The sequence below is a fragment of the Homo sapiens genome, chromosome 3 (genome assembly GCF_000001405.40).
Source record: "Homo sapiens chromosome 3, GRCh38.p14 Primary Assembly".
Taxonomy (NCBI): domain Eukaryota; kingdom Metazoa; phylum Chordata; class Mammalia; order Primates; family Hominidae; genus Homo; species Homo sapiens.
The window spans coordinates 89,203,878-89,226,138 of record NC_000003.12 but is presented as its reverse complement, the minus strand read 5'-3'; the positions used below and the strand labels follow the sequence as shown (position 1 = coordinate 89,226,138).

At 34.2% G+C, this 22,261-nt stretch overlaps 1 protein-coding gene across 5 annotated transcripts in view; it reads right to left on the bottom strand.

Moving 5' to 3' along the window:
- The window catches only part of EPHA3 (EPH receptor A3), a 374,514-nt gene that overhangs the window by 255,996 nt on the left and 96,257 nt on the right, over positions 1–22,261 (bottom strand). For all 5 annotated transcript variants that reach the window (NM_005233.6, NM_001410778.1, XM_005264715.4 and 2 more), the window contains exon 3: positions 15,619–16,279. In NM_005233.6, coding sequence (NP_005224.2) covers positions 15,619–16,279 — 661 coding nt within the window. The remainder of the gene's footprint in view (positions 1–15,618; positions 16,280–22,261) is intronic.

The window sequence follows — 22,261 nt, the reverse complement described above, 5'->3', positions numbered from 1 at the left end:
TACCATTTATACTGATTAAAGCAATGATGTTTCTAATCTTTGTTTTCCATGGAGGAAATATAAAATATATTATATAACAATTTGATTCTTTACCAGAGTGGAGTGAATATAATTTAAACATTTATTGATGTCTCAAGGCCACAACTACGAATATTTTTATTTGCTTTATGTACTTTGCAGTCCTGTGAACACTCAGAGTTTACTGAGGCATAGAAGACTGTGGTCCCACAGTGGCCCCAGGCAAATGTAACTTGAACACGTGTGTATGTTATCATAGCCCCTTGGGTTCTTTTCCTATTCTCAGGCTGCCAATTGTGATGTTTACTATACTCATTCTATGTACTTCTTTACCCCTTTCAACTTTCAGATTTTCATCTCCTATGAGCTTTGAAACCAAATTACTCAGCATATTAAAACTATGTACCTAAAATAGGGTAGGCTCTGACTGCAGCCTCAGTGTTCCTGAAAGTGTAAAGAACTTCACTATGAACTTATGGCATACCTAGGGGATGTATTTGTAAGCCTGTGTTCCTCACTTAGCAATTTTACCAAAGACGTTTTCTGTAAAATTATTTGGGGAAAAAATGCAACTTTCTTTGAAAATACATTAGGCTACTATGACCAAACTTTATAAACTGGCACCATCTTAGAGAACACAATAGCTATTAAGCTAAGAGAAATGTAGCAATATGCAACAGGCTGAGATGTATAACATGGTACAGTTGGTTGAAAATGTAAAGGTTCCACAAGGTTTACTTTCGTATCTAGTGTAATTTTAGAAAATTGTTTCGAACACACCAAAATCTTTTGGAGTAAGTAAAGAGTATTTTCCGAGGATTCATAGAATATTTTCACTGACTTTTCCAGTCATAGAATCCACTGGATTATAAAGGCATTTTTTTTCTGATCATTACAGGCATCGAAGCAGTAGCACATAATCATAGCCATGACTGACCAGTGAATAAATAATAGCAAATAAAATGTGATTACAAATTACTACCTTCACGTCTTTAGATCTTAACATAGCTATTCCAAGATGGATAATTTCACTTGTAAATAACTTGATAATTTCCAAATAACTTTCACATTTTTACATCCTTAAAGTAATCCATTTCTTTTTAACTGAATTTGATTGCTAAATTTTTATTTAAACTGGAAAGCTAATCTCACTAATCACAGCCACTCTTTAACCTTTCCCGTCTATATTTTTCAGCATCAAAGAGTATTTAGAAAGTGTATGCTTTTTATTTTTTTATTATTATTTATTATCATTATTATTATTATTATTTTGAGACAGAGTCTTGCTCTGTTGACCAGGCTGGAGTGCAGCGACATGATCTTGTCTCACTGCAACCTCCGCCTCCAGGATTCAAGCAATTTTCCTGCCTCAGCCTCCCGAGTAGCTGGGATTACAGATGCATGACACCACTCCCAGCTAATTTTTGTATTTTTAGTAGAGATAGTGTTTCACCATGATTGCCAGGCTAGTCCCGAACTCCTGACCTCAAGTGATGTGCCTGCCTTGGCCTCCCAAAGTGCTGAGATTACAGGTATGAGCCACCGTGTCTGACCAAAAAGTGTATGCTTTATAAGAGTATCTCTACCTTTAATAGAAATTAATGGCTGTTTCTAACCATCTTCCTTCTTCAGAAATAAAAACAGTTACCTTCTTATTACTTTCTTTTGTAACTTTCTAAAAATAAAATGAAGGTGAAAAAAGGTAAACTGATACAAGGCAAATTTGGTGTTACCTAATACAGCAGAATTTCTTTTATCATTTTATTGTAAATTAACTATCCCAACTCATTTGCCCTGGCAACCTCAATATTTAAAGATTTAGTCAACCGCATGATCACTCAGCCAAATATTTGGATTATGTCTCTATTTTATGAAGCTTAATTTTGAATAAATTTCATGGTAAATTATTTGTGTAGATAGGAGAGATGCTATAAATCTCTGAAATAAACTACAAATGAGAGTGTAACAAATGTCCAGGTTTACATCTCCCATGTGTGCCTATGTTCAAGAAAGTTATCCACCTTTTCTTATTGCTTCACATTTTTTGTTAGATATTGTTATAGTACATTTATTAATAAAGAAGCAAAAATATTGATCGATAAAATAATCATCATTATTCACACAAAAGCTGTGTTCAGATTTTGAACCAGGCATTGAAAGAATTTAAAAAGAAGTGGAAAGCACACTGTTAATCTTAGAAAGATTACAAATTATAATGATAACAAAGCTTTATTTTTTAACTTAAAAAATTCGTTACTATATTTTAGAACCATATTTACTAACCATATTTTAGTACTTTATTATACGATTTTCTCTCCACTCTTACTCTTAGATATTATTCTAGATCTACATATGAGGAAGCTAAATTTATTCACACATATAAGGTATTATAATACAATGATACAAACAAAATCCAAATGTATAAAGTCAAGTCACGCCATCATTTTATGCTAAGAAATCTTAATTATTTTGTAGGAATTAAGATGGATACCAAGTCATGTACAACAAACATAATCCCACCAACCCTGCTGGGTAAATCTCAGGTTTATTACTAGTCTAGGAACGTACAGAAACTGTCTACCAATAGAGCTGACGATTCCTCTGCAATCATGACCCTCATCTGGAGTTTACAGCATGAGCCTGGCGACTAGCCAATATGAACAATGTTTAAATTTCTTTATGGCAGCTCAATGAGCCTTCAAGCATTCATCTGTTTTACCTACTGTGCTTAATAAAAAGCAAGCCAATGCATTTTCTCATTTTCTTTTCATCTCTAATAAGAGCAACCATCAACCGTATGAAGGATGGAGTCAGCATTTCCTTTCAGCCTCCCTTTCCTAATAGTTCCGCACTGAAGCACTCATAGAACACCATGATGCCACCCATCATCTTGCAGAGATTTTGATTTACTGGGAATGATCGTAAGAGGAGTTTTTTAAAAAGGAGAAAAAATAGATTTTAAAGCAGCATACATGTTGTCATGAAAGTATAACAAGTATAAACAATGAAAGCCCCTGGTAATTACTTCTGTTCTTGACTATCAGTGTTTTTAAAGAGTTGTATTATGTTAATGAAAGGGTTGCTTTAAATAAGCTTTTAGATTTTGTAAAGGTTAAAAGACTAAGAAATATTTAACAGCAACACAAAAGTTTGTAATCTATAACACCAATAACATTTTCAAAGAAAATTAGTTCCACACATGATCCTTGTATAGAACAACCAGGTCAGATACTTAAGAAGTCTGCAACTTTAAGTCACATTCATTTACTTAATGAAGTGTAAAGCTTCATCAGTATGTGTTACCACTTCAAGTTTTGGAAGTTATACATATTATATTTATTAACGTATTTTGTGTGCTGCCTCATTCTAAAAGCAGTAAAAGAAATGTAGGAATGTGTGCAGCAGTCCAATACCACCAGAAATTGATGTGATATTTTATTACAGCCTTCACCCTTCTCAATTTTTTAGAAACAAAGAATTTAAAGTACACTTATAAGTACACATTTACTAAAAATGTATATGTACTAAGTATATAGTGCTAAGTGCATATATGTGTATGGACATGTATAGACATGCACATATCTATACATCTATACATACATATATTTATATATATTTATATAATACATATATTATTTTGCATTTTATGTCTATATACATATACACACACAAGTATGCATGTACATCTATATATATTTACATGCATGTGTGTGTACATATATGTATATATGTGTGTGTATACATAGGTATATACATATACATATACATATATATATATATATATATATATATATGTATATGTATTTATGAGCTTTTTAAAAACCCAATGTCTGTAACAGAAATGCTAGCCAGGTCCAAAATTCATTCCCAATCTGCCACTTGGAGATCTGTCAAGCTAATAATGAAGCATATTGTGCAAGCATACACATTGGGCACATAGCAAGTGTCTTTCTGAGCCCTGGTTCTCCACTAGCCATCATCTCCTATCAATCATGTCCTCAGCAACAGCAGGAGCAATGGAAACAGAAGCAGAAGCAATTAGAGGTGTGGCTCAGTTCCACATGCCTAGAAAATAAAGGCCAGAGATGCCCTGTGAAAAGATTTGCGTGTTAGAGGCTTACCTAATCCTATGTTAAAGAAAGAGATGTTATGCTAATTAATATGAGGTTTTTGCCTTTTTATACCACCATTGCCAATCTTTTTTTTCTCAACTCTTATAACCAATTTCTCCAACCATCCCCTTGGCAGCAGGAACTTGCAAATTTTCTCATTATGGTGACTTGCAGAAGCATTTCAGATGAAAATTATTGACATATTATATTATGAAAAGCATCAGGTTTCAGAGTCAGCCAGACCTGAATTTACATTCTGGCATTGTGACACTGGTCAAATTAGTAAATTTTCTTAGACCTGTTCTGATAAAATAACGATAATAAGATTTACCTCGTAAGGCTTTGGTGAGGATCAAATGGTATATTCCTCACTGGGTACATAGTAGGCAATCAATAAATAGTAATTTAAATGTATGTATGGCTTTTCGTATTTGAGAAAGCATTCCCACAATTCAAGATGGAATAGATTACAATAAAATACATTTTAGAAGGTGAAGAGTAGACCAAAAAGGGTACATAAAGAGAATAAATAAAACAGTGAGTTTACTATTTAGAAGGCATGTTAAGAGAGCGTATCTATGTATGTTTTTCAGATACAGGAAGACACGTAATTTTCTGCTCTTCTATAGGGAATGCAAACAAGATACGATGACCATTACGTGAATCAATATCCAAAAAGCAAAAACAAGTGAATAGCTTAAGGAACACAATCACTCCCACCCTTGGAGTCAGAAGTAAATGTCCGTGATTGGTCCCAGAGAGAGGACACAATGAAAAGTATTGAATAACATCCTGAGAAGCATCCTTACAGTAAACATACTCTGCGCTTCAGGGACTATTTCTGGTAAAGCAGGCTGATGAGCTTCAGGTACCTCAGCCTCTCTCTGCCAGGAAGCATAGGAAACAGTGGTCCCACACAAGCGATCTGTTCCACTTTCAAATTCCAGTTTTACCATTCAAATTCCAGTTGAACCACTTACTAATTGTGACCTTGGACAATTGCCTGATTTTTCTAAGCCTCCAGTTTTCTATCACGCAAAATGGAGACATGATTCCACCAAGCTCATATGTTGTTGAGAGGATTAAATGAAGTGCCAAGCTCAGTCACATGCTAAAGGAAAGAAATGGCTATTTTTAAAAGAAACAGCTGATATCGAAGAGCCACTCTAATTGTCAAAGGACCAGTACTAAAACTAAAGCATAGAAACTTTTTATACAAAGACTATTAACACAATATGTCCTGGAATAGAACCACATCTACCTGTCATTTTTTGTATTAGTATCACATTACAGAAAAAAGGGAGTCAAATGTTAGATTTGATTTCATGTCAGCACGTCAGAATATCCTCAAAGGAAACTAACTCTGTAACAGCTGTCTGAACTGTTTCCATACGGAAACACCCTCAACCTCCAAATGCTTTATATTTGATATCTCTTTTATTACTCCATTCGCATTCTGAGTTCTTAGACTACGAAACTCTACCCGCTGAACGTCAGTCACCTTAACCAGCTCTTTGCAGGTAACTTTTTGTTTTTCAGTTTTAAAATATCCATCTTCATGTCACTATTCCTGAAATCTTTCTTCTTTCTCCCAGAAAAAAATCCATCTTAGTTTTGTTTTTCTTGCAGAGGTGTCACTTTCCAATAATCTAAGTAGTTAGTAAGACTTTATATGCCTTCAAAAATTCACTAATTTTAAAGAAAATTCCTGAACGAATGTGTCCTGAAGCACAATCACAAGATGTCAAGTACCAATTCGAGCTCTGCTAATGTATAATTCGAACCTTTAGCCTTAATAGACATATCTGTAAAGGACAATGATTAAACTAGACCAGAGTTTCTCAACCCTTCCACTACATATTTATATGTTGGTCTGCATAACTCTTTGCTATAAACATTGCCCTGTGCATTGTAGGATATTTAGCAACATGTGTGGCATCTAAACAGGAGGTGCCAGTAAGCAACCCCTTTCTTCAGCTGTGAGAACCAAAAATATTTTTAAACATTGCCCGGTGGCTCACGCCTGTAATCCCAGCACTTTGGGAGGCCGAGGCGGGCGGATCACGAGGTCAGGAGATCGAGACCATCCCGGCTAAAACGGTGAAACCCCGTCTCTACTAAAAATACAAAAAATTAGCCGGGCGTAGTGGCGGGCGCCTGTAGTCCCAGCTACTTGGGAGGCTGAGGCAGGAGAATGGCGTGAACCCGGGAGGTGGAGCTTGCAGTGAGCCGAGATCCCGCCACTGCACTCCAGCCTGGGCGACAGAGCGAGACTCCGTCTCAAAAAAAAAAAAAAAACAAAAAACAAAAAAAAAAAAAACATTGCCAAATGCCTCTTGGAGGTAACATCACCTGGGCTAGGAACACTGGTGTAGACTCCAGAATTCTATAGGTAATACCCTGGAATGATCTGTATTAACATGTGGTTTCTTAATATTTCCACTCAAATCTAAGTTCCTTGAGGGCAGGAACATTTTTCTGTTTTGTTTAGTGCCACATTTCCAGTTGACATTTGGTATAGCAGACACTCATAAATTGTTGTGGGGGGCAGGGCACGGAGGCTCATGCCTGTAATCCCAGCACTTTGGGAGGCCAAGGCAGGCAGATCACCTGAGGTGGAGAGTTTGAGACCAGCCTGACCAACATGGAGAAACCCCATCTCTACTAAAAACACAAAATTATCTGAGCAGGGTGGCACATGCCTGTAATCCCAGCTACTCAGGAGGCTGAGGCAGGAGAATCACTTGAACCTGGGAGGTGGAGGTTGCGGTGAGCCGAGATCCTGCCACTGCACTTTAACCTGGGCAACAAGAGCAAAACTCCATCTCGAAAAAAAAAAAAATGTTGTTGTGAAAAAATGGGTAAATGATGAAATATTAAACTCCATGGAGATTGAAACCTTAACTCTTTAACTCTTTGATGACACTTTAGAAGCAGATTATGAGTCTCTAAACAACATTTGTCTTTCATGCTTACCAGACCATGTTTTTCCTTATGAATAGGATACTTGCCTCCTTTTAAGATAGATTCAGTTCATATCTCCTTTAGAATCCAAGATGCTTCTAGTTCTAGATCCCTGAGGAATCGCCACACCGACTTCCACAATGGTTGAACTAGTTTACAGTCCCACCAACAGTGTAAAAGTGTTCCTATTTCTCCACATCCTCTCCAGCACCTGTTGTTTCCTGACTTTTTAATGATTGCTATTCTAACTGGTGAGAGATGGTATCTCATTGCAGTTTTGATTTGCATTTCTCTGATGGCCAATGATGATGAGCATTTTTTCATATTTTTTTGGCTGCATAAATGTCTTCTTCTAGAACTAGAAATACCATTTGACCCAGCAATCCCGTTACTGGTTATATACCCAAAGGATTATAAATCATGCTGCTATAAAGACACATGCAAACGTATGTTTATTGTGGCACTATTCACAATAGCAAAGACTTGGAACCAACCCAAATGTCCAACAATGATAGACTGGATTAAGAAAATGTGGCACATATACACCATGGAATACTATGCAGCCATAAAAAATGGTGAGTTCAGGTCCTTTGTAAGGACATGGATGAAGCTGGAAACCATCATTCTCAGCAAACTATCGCAAGGACAAGAAAACCAAACATGTTCTCACTCATAGGTGGGAATTGAACAACGAGAACACATGGACACAGGAAGGGGAACATCACACACCAGGGACTGTTGTGGGGTGGGGGGAGGGGGGAGGGATAGCATTAGGAGATATACCTAATGCCAAATGAGGAGATAATGGGTGCAGCACACCAACATGGCACATGTGTACATATGTAACAAACCTGCACGTTGTGCACATGTACCCTAAAACTTAAAGCATAATAATAATAATAATAATAATAAAATCCAAGATGCTTTACAGCCAGAACTATATCCTCCTTCCCCCCAATTCAATACATGAATCAATTCTGTATGCCATAAAACATTTATGCATGATGATAGATGGATTGAAATATTTTATATTCAATGTAGAAGTATGAGATAAACAGTAAATGAATCTAAATCTCTGAAATACAAATTTTCCTCTCCAGTAACTATCAGAGAAGCAAAAATGTTCCTTACCAATTATTTATATATTCAGATTCACTTCTCAGTTTCATAAAACTTTACATGTTCCTGGTGCACAATAAATTCAGGTATTCCTTCATCTCATAGCATATACTTTCTCTTTGTTGAAAGTTAGTCTTCATGTTAAAAAAGCCACAGCTGTTTTCAATTGCAGCATTTTCTTTTAACCTTTTGTGGCATTGCAACTGACCATTGAATAGAGAATTCAGAAATATTTTACACTCAGGGTCTTTCTATATTTGAAGCCATTCTTGCTTTTTATTTGTTTATTTTTAATAATACAAAAAGTCTGTGGTGGATTATGTGGGGTTTATGGGTTTCATGATCTCAATGACTCGCCTTTGGAATCCCTGGGGTCTCTTCTCACAGAATGAATCTGCGATTAGATGTCCACGTTATGATTGTGTTTCTAAAGGACAGTTAACATGAATTTCAGAGATTTATAGAAATAGCGGTAAGAATATGACCAAAGTTTAGAGTTTTTTTTTGTTTTTGTTTTTGTTTTTTTAACGACCCTGGATTCTGTTCCTAGAAAAGGCATCCATAAGCAATTACAGAGTCATCTGCCAACAGGATGTTTTGTCCGCATACTGGAAGATGAGAAGCTACAAAAAAAGAGCATATATGCAGCTTTTCTAGTTATGTGATTATTTCCAAAAGGCTCTTTCTTTAAGAGCACTTTCATCAAATATTATCAACACTTATACTTCTTTACAATTGCTCTCTATTAAACTTTAGTGCCAGCTGTCAGAGCTGTAATGTAAACCCTTATTAGCTCTCATAAGTTCTACTCTGGAACTAATAAGGGATTGTCAAAACTCTAAACACAGACAGAAGTGAAAGGGGTGGAGAAATCACAGGAAAAAAAGGTGGAAAGTGTTCAATGAATCTGCATTGACAAAGCAATCTTTGTGAAACTATTACCAGTATATTTCACAGAATCTAAGTCCATCAGGAGGGAAAAAAAGATCTAGTTCTCAGTTTATTTTGCATAGGGTTTTATTCTCCTTACGCTGGAAGAAGTTGACTAAAGAAAATGAAACATTAGCTGGAAAAGTTAATGAAATATCAATAATCATTCTCTGGAATCATTACATGTATTCTGAAAAACATGGTTACATTGCATCTTGAAAGTTGAAAACACAGAAGCTTTTATAGTATCTGAATAGTTAGAGTAAAAAGGATAAGTTTGAAGTGAAGATGAATGTTCTTTACAAAAGCCATAAATTATATAACATGTATGCTTTAACAGAAGTTGTTTAACAAAGTGGCACGCAGCAAATCAGAGCTAAGGAAGGTCATCCATATAAAACACCTTAAGTTAAAGAAAAGGAATTTCAAGACTTTCTTTAGGGTCCAACCAGCCTTGACAGTAAATTATGATGGCAGATTCACGAGCTAGCTGACAAGATAATATTCATTAAGATGATAGGAGAACTATAATTTTTACATATTCACAATAACCAATATCCCACCCTTCACAGAAAAAAGAAGTTTAGATATGTCTTTTTCTTGGACAATTTCAATCACTTTACAGGTAAGTTTACATTTAATAGATATTTAGTGAGTTGTCTACAAAGCAATGTTCTATCTTCCTTTGGACAGAAAACTGAAAATGAAATGATGGAAACAACCCCTTTCAAGTAAAATGAGAGCTACTTTTTTTCTGCAACCAAAATTATTTTCTGATGCCTCAGATGCTCATAGTGAATACTGTCCTGGGAAGATTAACCCATACATTACCATAGTCTCTCAAACAAATAAACTGCTTAATGGACACATTATTTATGTTTCCCAAAGATTATACACTTGGCATATAGATATTACCTAAATTACTATTTGCACATTTGAAACACTAGACCAGTCAAAGCATCTAAAAGCCCAAAGAACTTAGTGTAAGAATAATAATTTAATGAAAAGAACTTGATACTATAAAGCAGATACCCCACAGCCATTTGATAAGGAATGCCTGTGAGTTAAATTAGAGCTTTAGAAGTATACTTTAATAATGACCTATAAAATCATCTTTTAGGTTGGGATTAAGTAGAGTGAAATGCCTATTTAAAGAGAAAATGTGTTTTAAGATTTTTTCCCTCTGAACAGAATTGGTGAGATTATATTACTAAAGTTAACCCACATAAGGTAAAACAGTTCATATTTTACTAAAACACTGTAAGTCTTATTTAATTGTAATCCTGCGTAAGAATGTTACTAACATTTATGGAACTTCTTGTGATTTTTAAGGCCTGTTATAGTGGTTCATTGCTGATCATTTAACTTATTCATTACGAGGTATTCAAATGCTTAGATATGAATTTGCTCTACTCCCTAAATTTAACCACAGACATATTTCTCCTAAACATGTTTGCAATTACATTGTGTCTGAGTGTTCAAAATAATCTGATTTGCAGTATATACAGAACAAAGAATTCACATTTCTATTTTCCTAAACTTGCAAATCCATGGTTTAAATTTATATTGTTTTTATAGAGACTCAAAAATGAGCTACAATATTTAAGAAGTCACAAACCAAATATATTCCCTTGCTTTCTCTCACTTTTCATATTAAAAAATAAGTTTTTACTTTAACTACTTTTTAGATAGTGCACTCACATAATTTGATCACAGATTTCCAGTAATATCACATAATAATAATTCGTGTAAGCACATTTGACATATACTTCAAACAACTTATACTGCTTCTCCACTGCCTTTATAGTATTTGGGCCATTCTTAAGTATACATAATAACTACCTAAAGCAAAGTAAATAGATAAGTTAGCTCTATCCAGAGTCAGGTGAAATGTTTCAACAGATATATTTTTCTTTTTCTTAGTTGCTTACTTATTTTTGATTCACATGATTCTTTCAAGGCAAGGGCATTATTTATTGGTATATCCTTTCCAACTAACTAAACTCGTCTTTTATAGAAGGAATGTTAGGACACAAACACAATATGAACAAAACCTAGGCTTAACATTTTTGAGATGTAGCATTTTAATTTTATTTTTGCATTGCAGTTGTTTGCTTATTTCCTAAATCATGCTTTCTTAAATCAAACCAGTTAAAACCTAAAAGTCTTTCTGAATATACAATATAAAAATGTGCATTTATAAACTCAAGGCACTTTGGAAAAATCAGTGGGAAGATTCATACTATGAAAAAAAAGAGACTGAGTCCAATACCAGATGGGAAAAATCAAGCGTGACTGCTGTTTGGAAGAAAAATAACACTTAACAATAAGATAATGGAGGAAATATCACCCATGGTTTAATAGACTAGAGGTTTAATTGAACAAAAAAAATGTCTCTTTAGAAAAGCACAATCCTTTTGGATCCTTGTTTGGAAGAAGGTGGGCAATCAATGAATAAATAATGAATACACAAATATATACATTCATTAAATACATGTTTTATCTCTTAAAATATGTCTAAGGTCTAAGGTAAGCTGTTGAATGGGTGATTTCATCATATCTAAATGTTCTAAAATGTATTGAAACAAGAAAACAAGGAAGGTAACACATTTCAGGGATTCTGATGACTGAAAATAATGACGTTCAAATACCTTGTGTCTAGTGCTGTATATTGTGCAGTGGACTAAGCAATACATCCACTGGCCATTTTGAAGCCCATCCCTTTTGTGGATGAAGAAACTAAGGCTCAAAATGTTTAGCCACAAAATTAATAAGCTGCATTCCTAGGACTCCTAAGCCCAAGCCCTCAAACACTTGTTAGTGACAAGAGCTTTTGGCTAAATAGAACAATTAAATGCAAACTGTAATTTGAAGACAAGTGCAGAAATTTTTTTGGCATTAGGCTCATGTACATAAATTGATGAGAAGACATAGAATCTTGTATAAATCAGAGGCTTGATAGCTATTATAAAGCTATAATGTATCTGTTTAATTTGTTATATTAAAGTTATTTATCTTATTACTTATCAGTGCCATACTTTTTATTTAAATAAATTCATTGGTTGGAAAAACAATGGATGTATAACTGCTAAAGGCAAAGAGGAAATAGACAGCTGTCATTTTAACCTCAGAGAAAGGAAATTTTTCATAACCGAAGGTAAGAATCTCGATAATTATAGGGTAGTCTTTACGAGGTGAGCCAATGCTTTAAGCACTAGATCAGTAAATTTAAGGGACAAAAATGCCACATTTATTTCAGCATCTACAAAAATTGTTTAGACGGTTGCTTTATTACAGGTATTAATCTAGAAACAATTGATTATTTTAAAGCAGAAAGATAATATGCATCATAAATTCATAAAAGAAAAAAGTATGATCTTTGGTACCGTAAAAATATTTGTTATTCCTTTACTTCATCATCTATTCGTTATTCTAACGAGAAGTCAGATGAATCTATTATTGCCTGGCTGCAACTGTATGTGACCTAATAATCAAATATGTTTATTTCAAATTAGATAAAATTAACATCTTTATTTGCAATGCATTCTGAAAGGCGTAGTGGAATCAAAGATAAATAATGTAAAGTCTATTCTCTTCAGGACCTCTATTCTAAGAATGGATAGTTGGTATAGAAATATAGAAATCTCACAGTAATTACACATCCTATAGGTATCTACTTGAGAACCTACTCAATTAGATTCTGCTATGTTCTAAGCAAGATGTTTCTAAGAAAAGACATTTCTGGTGTCTCCCCTTAAGGAACTTCCAGGCAAAAAACAACTAGAAAGGAATGCTTCTGAGTTCATTCACACTCATGAGCACCTTGCAGTTCCAGAGGGTGCCTTCTGATTGTGCACACAGACTTAGTAGGTGTGAAGAATATACTAAGGTTTTCAATTTTCTCTAGCGCCTCTGTCAGAGCAAGCAGAGTCTTAAAATTATCCTGTTATTGAAACTTTGGCAGCTGTTTTAAGAGTTTCTGAATTAACAGAGAAATGAGTGGAGAGTAAGAACTGGTATCCTAAGTCAGAAGTAAAACAAATATAATTTTGGATAGTCATCAAAAAGTCTAGGTGTCTTCATACATCACATCAAACACACTTTTCTATTTAGCTGCTAATGTAAAAGAAGAAGGAATAAAGTTAGCATTCCACAATGAATGTGCAGAGATAAAGCACAGAGCAACAAATTCTTCAGTGACATTAATAAGGTATTTGGTACACTAAGTCTAAACAAAGTTTATATGAGAAGGAATATTTATAGTAACCTTCTGCTATCTGGCTCAAATGTAATTAACTGACTATATAAAAAGCCATTAGCGTCCTCATCTCTCCCCTCCAAACTAAACCAAAACAGATAACATAATTCATTAGGCTGGATTAAAAAGAACAAAAAAAAAAAATCATGATGTTTCCTTGGTATTAATACAAAATTTTCCCACACTTCCAATCTTAAAAAGAGAAAACCAGTAAGAAGAGTTATGCTGGGATCTAAAAAATATGAAATATCCAAATGAAAAAATCAAGTAAAATATTGTCAATGCTTGAAAGTGAATGCCAGATGACTCAGTTTTAGTATGTCACTTTATAATTTTAATTTTTCAGTGTTACCCTTTTAAAAGGAGGTTTATGAACATCCTCCCCAAAAAAACAACCCCACCTGCCATTTGACCATGCTGTCAAAATCCAGCAAGTCTGCCCAGATCCCAGAAACATGGTCCAAATAAATTTTAAGTTATATACATGGTAAATTAAAGAAAATATATTACAGTATCCTTCTCTTTCATCAAATATGAGAGATAATGTATTTAAATAAAAGTCATATTTTAAAATATATTAGATAAATTCCTAGTAAACGGTATGACACATATTTTCTTACCTTCCTTACTAATTTTTATACCACTCCTTATCAGTTTAAGCTTGCATAGTTATTTTTATATGCATTTCTATTTCACCAAATTTATTGTAATAAGTACTCTTTACCTTCCTGGTGCTTCTTGGAGTTTGTTTGGCATGCGATTCTTAAATCGTTCTTTAGTCGCCAATATTTCTTTCTACCCTCCTTTATTTTCTCTCTCTAAACAGTCATTGAAAGAGAAAAATTTACCATTTACTATTCTTAGCTTTCTTTTTTCCTATCCTACCTAGCCAAAAGAAAGAGGAGGAGGAGGAGAAGGAGAAGAAGAAGAAGAAGAAGAAGAAGAAGAAGAAGAAGAAGAAGAAGAAGAAGAAGAAGAAGAAGAAGAAGAAGAAGGAGAAGAAGAAGAAGAAAAAGAAGAAGAGGAAGAGGAAGAGGGGGAGGGGGAGGAGAGAGAGGAGGAGGAGGAGGAAGAGGAAGAGGAAGAGGAATTTATTCTGTGAACCATGTCTACAGTCAAAAGCAAAATATTATGTTCTGTCCAGATTTAAAGAGGACAATTTATATGCAAAGTAGTCTCATTTATTCCACTTGCATTTGAGAAAAGTGACTGATTATGCGATCAGGAGTAGAACACCAGACTTGACAGAGTGTAACAGCAAGCAAGGGCATTAAAATGGACAAAATTTCAAGGACAATATACTTAACTTCTCCTATATATTTATTTATTTAAAATTTGAGTAACAATTTTAGTGTGTTCTTAAGCATAAAACCTTGCCTAATGCTAAGTAAATTTTGGGATTAAGTGAAATTATGATATGATATAGCACAGCTGATATACATAATTTTATATAAAATGATATTTTAATTGATTCCACTTAAAATATAAAGCGATTTTAATAAATATTAATTTGATTAAAGAGTTCTAGTTCTGTGATATTATATTAATATCAAATATGCATTCAAGCCTAACGGATGATACAAATAATTTTTGAGCACTAAAACGAGCCAAATCATGGTGCAAAAGACACTTAAAAATCATGCCTGTATACATTAAACACTGAAGCATCAGCTCTGGATTTTTAAATCAAATAATCTTCTAAAAGCACTAATCTCTTGTAAGTAAACATGTATTTGATACCCAGATGTCAGTGAAGAAAAGACTGTACTTTATAGCAATGAAGTAAATATTGCTATGAGATAGATGAGCACCAGCATAAATAACCACCACAGTATCTAATTCTGTTAGAATTAGGTTAGCTGAGTGCTAAAGATTTCTCAACTTTCTACATAAAAGAGATAGAATGTTTTTCTTCCAGGTGGTCTAGAATTAGATTACCTTAGTTATTAAACAGCAGAAAAACTTAAATATAGCATGTATAACACCTATTACAGGGTGCAGGCCAGCACTGTATAATCAAATACATTAATATTTCTACAGCAAAGCATGAATTACCACATCAAATGGAATTAATTTTAGTCCATAAATAGACTATGGTCAGTTTGAGGCATGTTTTCCTGCCAAGTGAGTTGAGACTGAGTGCATTTCATTTAATGACACTATGATAAACTCATAGGTGAGAAATATTGCTCAAAGAAAAATAGAGAAGGCTCTTACCTTGGCACATAAAACCTCTTTCTTCATAGCCAGCATTGCAGGAACACTTGCCAATGGGTACAAGCCATTCGCCTTCTGTACTGCAGTACATCCTTGGAGGATCTTCCTCCTTAGAATTGTTGACACAAGACCCTCTAACCTCCACCAGGGACTGGGAGTCCATGGGTACCGTGTCTGGAAACATAGCCAGATTCTTCACTGTAAATGGGCACTTTTTGAAGTATACTCTCACAGACACCAAGGCAACACAAGCACCAACATCTTGAAATGCCAAATAAAATCCCTTCTTGTTGACAGGACCTACTTCTCTAATCTCAGTGTTGAGCTTCAGAATACGGTCCCCAAGATCCATTTGAGTGAAACTTTCATCAGCTGCAATGGTGTCAATCTTTGTAAACTGATGCTCTCGAAATTTCACCCCATGATCATCATCAGACTCCATGTAGTACAGGTTGAATGTCTCCTTGCAAGTTCCTAAAACCAATGGAATGCTATTGCAGTCTCGTAGAGTGAACTTGAGCTCCACATAAATCTTCTGAGCTGAGTTCCTGGGGACCCAGTTTGTTCTCAGCCAATTGTTTTGACTGTGGTCCATGACATTGCACACCTGGTAAGTCCTGATGGGTGTGTAATGTTCATCCACACCACTGATCTCTTCCCACTGAAGAATCAAAGAGAAACAGAGAGTGAGGCAGAATTAATGATAATAACGAATACAACATAAGGGTGTCAGAGCCATCTCTATATAATAAATCATCATTTACTCATTAAAAACATTCTTGTTTGTAGTTTTTATTTGCAAGGTTCTCTGAGTTAATGGACATAAAGTAATTTATAATTTTGATGAACACATTTCAATTGCGTTACAGTTTGTTGAATATTCAGGAAAAAGACACTTAGCAGTTAATAGAGCCTAATCAAACATTCCAGGATCAAAACCTCAAATCAGTTGTCTCCAATGACACTATAATATTATTTTCTCATATGTTTTTGGGTGTTTTTCTCAGTTTAAAAAAGAAAAAATTAATAATACTGCCTAAAATTCATGCTTATTAATCTTTTCCCAATTTGTGCCAGGTTTTTGGTAAAATTGATATAAGGTAAAATAAAGTGAATATAAATGATATTTTTACTATGTATCATCATGCATGACATTTTTTAATGTACTGTCATTTCAATGGACATGTGTTGCAGAACTATGAAAAAAAAATTTGAAGTAAAAATAGAAATGTTCCTCACCCCACAGCTTCCCGCCAAATATAAAACCAAGTTATGTGTGAAAAACAGAAGACATGGCAAACATTCGATTCTTAAAGCCTTTTGCACCCACATTGGATCTTTTCTTAGTCAAGAAATAGATAGATATTTGGGGTTTTGTTGTTATAGCAGTTAAGGTTATCTTAGAACAACTTTTATCACTGTAAAAACCTTTAAAAGCATTCAGACTTTTGAGAACAGTGAAGCACTATTTTCTGTGATCCTTAGGACAAATTTTGAGAAGCTTTTAACTTAGCATCGTAAGTGTGTGTTACTTATGATCCTAAAACTATTAGACCAGTTGTTTCTGTTATCTCTGTGTCCATACTTTCCTCTTATGCCCCATTTTGCTTACTTCTTGCAGGAAACTACATCTTTTGTCATGCCATTCTTGAATGTAAAGTTTTCTAGGGATCTCTGTTACTTACGCAAAAACTTTCTAACTCTTGAATTTCACATTTGTGTTCCTCTTAAAACTGGTCCTAAACCACATGTTAATTTTTCTAAGTGTTTGAATCGAGATAAGTAATATTTCCACATATTATATTATTGTCAATGTAAACTCTTTTATTGTTTACGAAAGATGTGGTGGATATTCTGTCCTTTATTCTTTTCTTGTGGAACTTGTGGAATCTTCCCTTCCTTCCTTCCTTCTTTCCTTCCTTCCTTCCCTTTCTTTCTTTCTTTCTCTTTCTTTTTATCTTTCTTTCTTTCTCTTTCTTTTTTTCTTTCTTTCTTTCCCTTCCTTCCTTTCTTCCCTCCCTCCCTCCTTTCTTTTTCTCTTTCTTTCTTTCTTTCTTTCTTTCTTTCTTTCTTTCTTTCTTTCTTTCTTTCTTTCTTCCTTCCTTCCTTCCTTCCTTCCTTTTCTTTCTTTCTTTTCTTTTTTTTTTTTTTTCACAGAGTCTTGCTCCTGTCGCCCAGGCTAGAGTGCAATGGCACGATCTCAGCTCACTGCAATCTTCACCTCCTGGGTTAAAGCAATTCTCCTGCCTCAGCCTCCTGAATAGCTGGGATTATAGGCCCCCAACACCACAACTGGCTAATTTTGATATTTTTAGTAGAGATGGGGTTTCTCCATGTTGGCCAGTGATCTTGAACTCCTGGCCTCGTGATCCACCTGCCCTGGCCTCCCAAAGTGCTGGGATTATAGGCATGAGCCACTGTGCCCATCTGGAATATGCCTTTCTTACGGTATAACCCCATGGGACTGTGCATTCTTCTGCCTTATGCCTTCCATAACCCTGACAATCTTAAGAAAATTTCTGTATTATAGAACCCTTATTGAATCCCCTATTCATTTGTAAATTTAATTCATGATACATGCTAAAGTTAGTTTAATTTTGTTTCATAGGCATTTGCTAAATTTTAGGCAGGTCTCTTCATATTCACTGTAGTATGGAGCACAAAACTTCACCTTTTGGCATATGCACAAATATTATTTTTCTTATAAGTAAGAGTTATTCATGGGAATACAACAAAACGTTTTTCTTAGAGAAAATATTTAAATATATTTAAATATTGTAGTTAAATTTATGAATAAAACCCTTGTGAAGCCCATTATAAATGTGTTCCTACATTTTTCTCCAATAAAGCATTAATAATTTTCATCAAGAACAATAGACATTAAACACTTTTAACTAAATCAACAGCATATAAAATGCATTAACAGTTTTTTCTATTTCTATTGACACTATGTTATGATTTTCTTGTGTGTTTTTTGCTTTGTTTGTTTGTTTAAAAAAAGAATAAAAAATACTACTGCCTAAAATTCATCTGTACGAATATTTTCCCAGTTTGGGCCATGTACAGGTTTGCTACATTGGTCCATCGCATGAGGTCAAGTTTTGAGTATGATTGATCCTCTCACCCAGGTTGTGAGCATAGTACACAACAGTTAGTTTTTCAATTCTTGTTGCCTCCCTCCTTTTCTCCTTCAGCAGTCCCTAGTTTTTATTGTTGCCATCTTTAAAGACACAGAAATTTTAATTCACACCTTCTAATCACAAAATAAAATAAAATATTAATTTATTAAATTGTCGGTAATTACAAACAAAGGAACATGACATTTATTTGGCCTTTAAGCCTCATTAGGGGAAATTTTTTTATACTAAATTCTTAAATTATAAAAAACAATTTGTGAACTTTACTGTTGTGACAATCACAGTTTAAAAACTTCTAGTTCTTCATAGCTCACCTATTAACTTACAAACAAAACAAGTTAACAGCACTATTTATTTTAAAAACCTTGATCGTTCAGGATCTAAAATACAAGATAGGCACTCATTTTCTGGAGGCAAAATTGACCTAGCTTCATTGTCACATCCGAGATTCAACAACGAAACAAGTTGAGACTATTTTAGAAGATCTCAGAAGTAATATACAAGATACATTCTAACCTCAGTTTAAGGAAAGAAAATATTCACATTATATTTGTAATAATTGCCAATATACAATTTTCATGCATCCACTCTATATGTATGTAATATACTGAGTTTTTAAGAAGATAAGAGCAACTGAGCGTCTCAGTTCTTAGGGTTTTACATTGAGGTGCCTATAATAATACAGTCACATTCAAAGCAAAATGAATGTATATGTTGAATATAAAAAAACAGTCAACAGACTTGGTGCTCCAAAAATCTCTGGTGTTAAAAGTTAGTGTTTTATAGAGTCTTCTCTAGTAACATTACCTTGGTTCTACAATGGCATTTTAAAGTACAGATGTAGCAAAAACTCTAGAGAACAAATGCTTTCCATAACCATCTTATAGAAAGTTCGATCATGACAATATTATTTGAATGTAAACCAATTGACTTTAAATTTCTTAAGTCAAGATTTCCTTTTAGTAATAAATGAGATTGTTACTTTGATGAATCATTTGCAAATTTATTCTGCAATGAACAGCATTTTACTGGACATCAAACAGAACATATTGTGTAGAGGTTTTCATAACTTGATGTAAAATATGATTTTAATTATGGAGATCTCAGTGTAGTTTAACATTTGGCAAGATACCACAAGTCCTTGAAAACAGAGGTGTACATTGCAAGAAGATAATGCAAACAGAACCAGCATTCTTTGCACATAAAAGGTTGCAAGGAGCAATTATCACTTCATTAATTTGTAATGAAGGCCAAATTGCTTGTAAGGGATGGTGATGTGCCATCTCAGACCACTTGCGAAAACAACAAGTCTCTAACTCTAGCATTTGCTGAGGACTAAAGACAGTAGAAATAAAATTCTTAAATGAATATTTTCTCATAGCAGCAGCAACAAGAAAAAATCATTAATTAAAGCTGCTGTTATAATGCTCATGCTTTGTAAATGTAAAGAATGCCCATGTTTCATTCATTTTTCTACTGTAAGAACTAATGTATAATATTCATTATATATTATCATTATATTTTATCAGAGATTCTATCCTGCTAAAGAAATTGTCTCAAGGCAGAGATGAAAAAAAAAAGGGAGACATAGCAATGGTAACATAGAATTTGGTGGTGAAAAGCATCTTTCTCTTCATTTTCTTAATGCTTTCAAGAAATCTCTGTGATTGGTATCCACCAGTAACAGCTTCAGCAGAAGGGGATACAAACAAAAGAGGAGCTCAAAATACTTTTTCAACCTCTAACTCATTAAAATAAACAATTCTGATATTTAGCCTAGCTTCCAGATTTTGACTTTAAGCTTTAATTATTAGACCACATAGGGTTCCTTGTATTTTCATCTTTCTCTGGATCATTTCAAGTATAAGAAACCTATGCATCCAAACTTTCTCCCACTGGACAGTCCATTCTGAAAATAACCACACCAAACCTCTCCATCATCAAAGGTAGTATAAGATACTAAGGAGGCTCTTAGTTTATATTTTCTAGATAGCACAGTTCCTTGTCACTGAATCAAACATATATTTTTGAGGGAAACATATATTTTAATAATTAACTGGCATTTACCTAATAACTATTATGCTAGTATATCATCATTATGGTAATTAAGAATTTATATTTATTGTTGATATTAATTACTTTCATAGAAAACATTTTTATTTATTTGCTAACAAGGGGTAGTAAGGTGAGGAGGAAGTTTACACTTCCTTTAAGAGAAACAGAAGCTGCAATAAATTTAGTGCACAAGCTAATATAATTTGGAAAATATTAAGATTGCAAGATAGTCATGATTTACCTTTTAAGACTTAAAACCAGTTTCTAAGAAATTTGTGGATGACAATATAAGGGAAATGCATCAGCAATATTGTTACATTTACATTATTTTTGCATTTCAATGGTTTATAAGAAACACCAATTTCTGCGCTTTACAAAATGCTGATGATGATTAATCTTGCACCCAGTAATTTTAAGTGATATTAAGTCGGTTCATGTTATTCCTTTCTCCACTCACGTTTTTTATTCTTATGTTTATTTCCCCTTGTACACTCATAGCCATTTCAAAATCCAGTCTTCGTCCTGGAAGTATTTGGGCATTTACCAGGCAGCAGCATTTTAAGCATGCATGCAGAATCTCTTACAGCAAGGCTGTCACTGTCAAGTGTCACGCACAAATATATCTACAAAAATCATTATATTTCTATTTATTCATAAGTAGTTTTCCTTAGCCCATTCTGGTCTCAAAAGTACACACACACACACACACACACACACACATTTACACACAGATATATATTTCTAAAGGTATATTATAAAAAGATCAGAGTAATGTCAAATAGTTGAGACAAATGAGGAATAGAATTGTTTTTTTGTTTGGGGTGTGTGTGTGTGTGTGTGTGTGTGTGGTGTGTCAAATCAGAGAATTACATTTGTGGCCGAGGAGTCAGGAAGACAGAAGATGGAGATTTGATGTTGGAAAATCCCTATGATTAACAAGATGTGGGACAGGATCCGAAGACAAATATGACCGAAAAGGGCATATGTGGGAAGATGTGGACAGTTATCTTAATTATAATGGCTACTATTCATACCCAACCACCTTTAGCCCCTAAGTTTTCAGCAGAAATTTGGTAATGGTATTAGAATTGCCTTATGGAATATAGAAAAGCCAATATCCACAGTTTGGCACAGTATACTGAAAAGATCTGGGAAACAAAGACAAATGTAAAAGAATCAGAATTATTATGAGGAAAGCCAACAAAGTATTTTAGAGAGTGAGAAGAGCTAGGAACAGAATCATGTAAGATCCCTGCTTAGAATTCTCACCAATATTGGGCATACCTCAGTACTTTCTGTGGTTTTAACAAGATACAGGCTATTAAAGGCACAATGTCTCCAGAAAGTTTGAGTATGTTGTCCCTTCTGTCTCCGCTTTACCCAGCAACCTCGCAGCTGGGCTCATAGATGTCTGTGTTTTTCTTCTCTGTCTTCTAGTTCCTTAATACCCC